Here is a 6,908-nt window from a genome sequence, read left to right as displayed (position 1 = left end):
ACATGAATGAAATTGGAAATCATCATTCTCAGTAAACTATCGCAAGAACAAAAAACGAAACACCGCATATTCTCACTCATAGGTGGGAATTGAACAATGAGATCACATGGACACAGGAAGGGGAATATCACACTCTGGGGACTGTTGTGGGGTGGGGGGGGCAGGGATAGCGTCGGGAGATATACCTAATGCTAGATGACGAGTTAGTGGGTGCAGCGCACCAGCATGGCACATGTATACATACGTAACTAACCTGCACAATGTGTACATGTACCCTAAAACTTAAAGTATATATAAAAAAGAAACCTTTCTTTCTAGTTATAAGCATTCTACATAAAATGTAAATAAAAATAAAAGATTAAATTGTAAAAAAAAAAAAGTTTACAAAAAAGCTTTCCTGGGACTTCGGTAAGAATTGCATTAAACTTATACATTTTGGGAGAATTGGGATCTTTACTATGTTGAATCATCCAGTCCATGAACACAGTATGCTTCTCCACTTGTTTAGGTCTTGATTGATTTCTTTCATCAACATTTTGTAATTTCCAGCATACACAGTCTATACATTTTTTTGTTGTTTATAACTAAGTATTTCATTTTTAGTGACTATTAATGGTGTTGTTTTTAATTTTGGTTTGCACATGTTTATTGTCGGTATACAGAAATATGATTGATCTCTGTACATTGGTCTTGTATCCTAAGACCTTGCAGAAGTCATTTATTAGTCCTAAGAGTATTTTTCTATATTTTCTTGACAATGTGGACAATTGTGTTATCTGTATGATTTCTTCCTTTTTAAACTTTTCTTTTGTTAAAAAAAAAAGAAAGCTAGACATTTTAACATGATGGATGTTTTGAACTCAATATACATTTTCATGTTTTCTACTCAACCAGTTTTTATCTAAAAATAAGGAGTATGGGTCATATAGGAAAAGGGTGTTACAGGCCAATGGGAAACAGAAGGCGTGTTAGGTAAAGCAATAAAGGTGATATTAATAATGACATTTATCTTTGGTTGCACATTTATTCTCTGCCAGGTATCATATATTTCATGTATACCATCTCATTTTGTCCTTTACAACAACCTCATGAGATGGATATTATAACGAGAATCTTTGCGTAGGTGAACTATGACCTTTGGAGAGAGAGGTGAAATAACTTGCTCAAGATCGCACAGCTGGTGGATGGCAGAGATAGGATTCATACCTGGGTCTGTATGACTCTGAAATTAGAGCTTTCATCCACCATGCTTTACTGCTCTCCCAGATAATAACACTAGCCTATACTGCCTCTTCACAAACACTAGAAGTTTGAAAAAATAGACCGGGTAGAGTTTTTTCTTCTTAAACTCTCCCATTCTCTCTTTCCAGTGAAAAGAAATGTGAATTCTCAATGGTGAGGCCAAGGCAAAACTGACCCTTGTAAGGCTGCAACTGGAAAATCGGTCCTTTGATGGTAGAGATAAATTGCTTCATGTGTGTGGTTTCTGAAGTTTTGCCTTTATCCAAACTCATCATGAGAATGTGTGGCATGTCTAGTTCTGCATTAAGATATATACCTTTAGGCCATGATGAGAAATCTTCCCAAGCCTCATCAATCTTGATAGGAATCCAGGAGGATAACCATTATGTTCCTATGAAGTTCTCAGTAGCTCATGAGCCCACTTTAGTTTAATTCAGCAGAGGCCAATTTCTCAATCTGCAATAGGCTATGCATACCCACATATATGTACTCCAGAGGCATTGATCATGAGATCCTTCTGGAACAGGATTATAGTTTGGTATAGACAGGTCCAACAATGTAATAAATTACATTCATGTGGTGGAAGAACAATGGGTTGAGCATCTGAAGATGTCTCTGTAATTAACTTAATATAAGACCTTGAACACATCACTTTATCTCTCTGGGCTTTTATTTCCTTATCTTCTGAAAAAAATGTTGGACTTAATCATCTTATCTGCCTGCCATATAGCTGTCTTGATTGACATAAGGTTACTTGGTCTTTGGAAAAGTAACAGTCAGTTCACTCCTATAACACTAGTTAGTTCATGCTGCACAGAAGCTTAGGTTATCAGTTATCTACTAACTGAAATAGGAAGACAAATTGTTCATAGTCAGTATAGTTGGTTTACTGACAATGTATCTGAGTATGTAAATGTGAATTCATGGGAAAAATAATATAAGGTGTCCTTGGTGATGAAGAGCTGAATTTGTTTTCTTTTCTTTTTTTTTTTTTTTGAGACAGAGTCTCACTGTGTTACCAGGTTGGAATGCAGTGGCGCGATCTCGGCTCACTGCAACCTCTGCCTCTTGGGTTCAAGTAATTCTCCTGCCTCAGCCTCCCGAGTAGCTGGGACCACAGGCGCCTGCCACCACGCCCAGCTAATTTTTTGTATTTTTAGTAGAGACGAGGTTTCACCGTGTTAACCAGGATGGTCTCGATCTCCTGACCTCGTGATCTGCCCGCCTCGGCCTCCCAAAAAAATTACAGGCATGAGCCACCGCGCCCGGCCTCTTTTTTTTTTTTTTTTTGAGATGGAGTCTTGCTGTGTTGCCAGGCTGGAATGCAGTGACGCAATCTTGGCTCACTGCAACCTCTGCCTCCTGGGTTCAAGTAATTCTCCTGCCTCAGCCTCCTGGTAGCTGGGACTACAGGTGCGCACCATCATGCCCAGCTAATTTTTGTATTTTTAGTAGAGACAGGGTTTCACCATGTTGGCCAGGATGGTCTCGATCTCTTGACCTCATGATCCACCCGCCTTGGCCTCCCAAAGTGCTGGGGTTACAGCTGTGAGCCACCGCGCCTGGCCTGGATTTGTTTTCTATTCCCTTTCAGAAGGCACGAGTCTTCTCTTCAGTCTTCTCATGGCTGACTTCATTTCCTGGTTCCTCAGAGTGTAGATCAAAGGGTTCAGCAGAGGGGAGATGACAGTGAAGGTGACAGAGATGGCCTTTTCTGTGGGGAGGGCAGTGAAGGGCCGGGCATAGACATAGATGCAGGGCACAAAATGCAGGGTCACCACAGTGATGTGGGAGGTGCAAGTGGAGATGGCTTTCCTCCTGCCCCCTCCTGCCTGAGACCTCAGCGTCATTAGGATGACTGTGTAGGACACAAGCAGGAAGATAAACCACAGGGTAGTGACCAGGCCATTGTTGGAAATCATCAAGAACTCAAGAGCAAAAGTGTCAGTGCAAGTGAGTTTGAGGACCTGGGGGACATCGCAGTAGAAAGTGTCAAGAACATTGGGTCCACAGAAAGGGAGAGGCAGCAACAGGGAGATCTGCACGATGGAGTGGACAAAGCCCCCCATCCAAGAGGCAGAGATGAGGGCAGTGCATTGCCCTCTACTCATGATGGTCACATAGTGCAGGGGCTTGGAGATGGCCATGTAGCAGTCAAACGCCATCACAGAGAGAGAAAAAATGTCTGCCCCACCAAGGAGGTGGAAGAGAAATATCTGTGTCATGCAGCTTGTATAGGATATGGTCTTTTTCTTTGACAGAAGGTCCAGCAAGACTTTAGGAGCAGTTGTGGAGGAGAAGCAGATGTCAAGGATGGCTAGATTGCGGAGCAGGAAGTACATGGGGGTGTGAAGGCGAGACTCACAGGTCACGGTGACCATGATGAGGAGGTTTCCCAGCAGAGTCGTCATGTACACAAGACATAAAAAAAGAAACAAGACCAAACTCTGGTCTTGGGATTGAGTAAGTCCCAGAAATATAAATTCTTTTACTCTGGTGACATTTCCCAACTCCATTGAATCATGTTTTCTCTTTCCTGAATATCTTGGAAAAAATAATGTTATTTCAGAAAGTGTTTACTCTCTCTTAACAGATTCAAGTATTAGGTCTGAAAACTTGTGAGATATTACAATTTCAAGTTTATTGCCAATGCATGTAAAATGACATCTTATTATACAATCATGCATACACTTATATAAATTACAATTTTAAAAAATGTATAAAAATAATGTTGCAGTTATTCAAGATACTTAGGACATTATTCAAGATAAACAGAGGGGGATATTAATTATTTAGAAAGAGACTATTGTGGCATGGGAAATATAAAAATGGGATTAGTTTGTTGTGAGAATAAGGCAGTGCTTACTTTGTGTGACTAGAACACCTTGAGTTTCACAGGGCTGAGGATTTTGTTGTTTTTTCCCAGACTGGATGCTCCATTTAAATGGTTCTAAGAACCCCTGTCTGCAAAGAGGCCCCCCACTGGATTGAATTGTATGGAAGCAGCACCCCTCTCTTCTTAAATCACAAACTTATTTCCATGAAAAATTAGAAAATGTTTAAGCCATAAAATTTGTTTCTATTGCTCTATTCTTCTTTAAGGGGACTGCTTTGTTTCTTTCTTTACTTTAATCTACTTTAGGTACTGAAACCCCGGGGTGGTGAATAGCTCCTTAGCAATGGAAATAAAAATATTACTCAGAGCTTCTCTTCTGTTGTTTCAATTTCTTTCTTAAAAAATAATTTTTGTTGAGCTATCATTGACATACCATAGACTGCACATATTTGAATTCACACTTCGATAATGTTTTTTTTTTTTTTTGAGACAGAGTCTTACTCTGTCGCCCAGGCTGGAGTGCAGTGGCGTGATCTCGGCTCACTGCAACCTCTGCCTCCCAGGTTCAAGTGATTCTCCCACCTCAGCCTCCTGAGTGGCTGGGATTAAAGGCGTGTGCCGCCACGCCTGGCTAATTTTTGTATTTTCAGTAAAGACAGGGTTTCACCATATTGGCCCAGCTGGTCTCGAAATCCTGACCTTGTGATCCACCCACCTCGGCCTCCCAAAGTGCTGGGATTACAGGCATGAGCCACTGCTCCCGGCTGATAAGTTTTGACATATATACCTGTGACACCATCTCTATAGTTAAGAGAGTGAATATATCTATCACCCAGAAAATGTCCTTGTGCCCCTTTGTAGCCTGTCCCCTTTACCCTTCCTTCTTCAGGCAACAACTGATCTGCTTTCTGTCATTATACATTAGTTTGTATTTTCTATAATATTCTATAAGTGAAATTCTACTATTTGTATTTTCTTCTTGTCTGCCTTCTTTCAACCATGAAATTCATCCGTTGTTTTGTGTGTACTGCTATTTTGTTCCTTTCTATTGTATGAATATACCACAGTTTGCTTATCCACTCACTTGTAGGTGAACATTTGGGTTATTTGTGGCTTCTGAATATTACTCATAAAGCTGCTATGAACATTCACATTTGGGTCTTTGTGTGGACATATGTTTTCAGTTCTCTTGGGTAAGTAGCTAGGAGTGGAATGGCTGTAACTCTTAACATTCAATAGTATGAGAACAAACAACCAATTAAGCAACAAGGACAAATTATTTTAACAAAATGAAGTCACTAAAAGAAGTTAAAAAAAAAGAAGAGAAAAAAGGACAAATTATTTGAACAGACACTTCAGCAAGAAGACACAGAGAGAGCAAATAAGCACATGAAAAGGCTCAACATCATTTATCACTGAGAAAATATAAATTGAAACCACGTTGTAATTTAAAAATAGTATACATTAGAGTCACTGGAATGAAAAAGATTGATATATCAAGAGTGGACAAAGATGTAGACCAATGGAACTCCAGTAGGAATGTAAAATGGTACAATCAATTTGAAAATATTTTGGCAGTTTTTTTTTTTTTTAGATGGAGTCTTGCTCTGTCACCCAGGCTGGAGTGCAGTGGCACAATCTTGGCTCACAGCAACCTCTGCCTCCCAGGTTCAAGCGATTCTCCCACCTCAGCCTCCTGAGTAGCTGGGATTACAGGCTCCCACCACCATGCCCAGCTAATTTTTGTATTTTTAATAGAGGCAGGGTTTCACCATGTTGGCCAGGCTGGTCTTGAAATCCTGACCTCAGGTAATCCATCCGCCTTGACCTCCCAAAGTGCTGGGATTACAGGCATGAGCCACCGCGCCTGGCTGGCAATTTTTTAAAAAACTGTTACACATACACTTACCTTATAACTGTGTTGCTTTTGAATTCCTTTCTTTCTTTCTTTCTTTTTTTTTTTGGTAAATCTTTGTAATGGGCCTTATTTTCTTTCTTCCTAGTTTATCTCCTTTTTCTTTCCATAATTAGAAACAAATGAAGGGCAAAAGTCCCTTTTTTCCCGTTCTTTGGGTGTGTTCTCCAATTTAAATGAAGATATTTCTTCTCACTTAGCTCGCTTTGTCTTCAAGTTTTCTTTCCTCTCTAGGCAATTTTGTCCAAAATCTATTTAATGGGTAAATCCGAAAACAAGCTGCCAAGAAGTATTCTACCTTCGAGGTAGATGCCTACTAGACTCTGGCACCACGCAGCCTGTTCAAATCCCAGCTGAGTACTTACTGGTTGTGCTAACATGAGCAAATTGCTTCATCCCTTGACCTCATTCTCTATATCAGTAATTTGGAGACAATAGCATCTCCTTCATTAGACTTTTGTGAGGGTTAAATAAGTTAATCTATGTAGAGCATCAGTACTTAGAGCGTTGCCTAATCTGTAATAAGTGTAATTATATGTGTGCTACCTTAAAGACAACTCCAGGTTAATAATTCCCACACACAGCTTCTTCAATAAATATATCTCCAATATATTTATGGACATTCTTTTAGAGGAGCTGCATGTTTCCCACACGTGTGTCCTCAACCACTTCATCAGAACATTTGCTGTTTTGAAGGAATTAGGAGATATTTGCCTTCCAGTGACCCAGAGAGTCGTGACAGTGTATGACAGTAAAAAGAGCACTTGCTTGGTTTGGCTTCTTCTCTGACATCTTATTAGCAGACCAGAGAAATTGTTCAGTGCAAGGGCTCTGGGATCAAGACTCATCTGGGTTCAAGTCCTGGCTTTGCCACTGTGTGATTTGGGCAAGTGCATAACCTCATTGAGCCTCTAT

The 6,908-nt window shown here is 40.2% G+C and overlaps 1 protein-coding gene across 1 annotated transcript; it reads right to left on the bottom strand.

Moving 5' to 3' along the window:
- Positions 2,823–3,758, bottom strand: OR4D11 (olfactory receptor family 4 subfamily D member 11). Its single transcript, NM_001004706.1, has one exon. The coding sequence runs from the start codon at positions 3,756–3,758 to the stop codon at positions 2,823–2,825; it is 936 nt and encodes a 311-aa protein (NP_001004706.1).

This window comes from Homo sapiens, chromosome 11, assembly GCF_000001405.40.
Source record: "Homo sapiens chromosome 11, GRCh38.p14 Primary Assembly".
NCBI classification, from domain to species: domain Eukaryota; kingdom Metazoa; phylum Chordata; class Mammalia; order Primates; family Hominidae; genus Homo; species Homo sapiens.
This window is presented reverse-complemented; position numbering and strand designations above follow the sequence as displayed.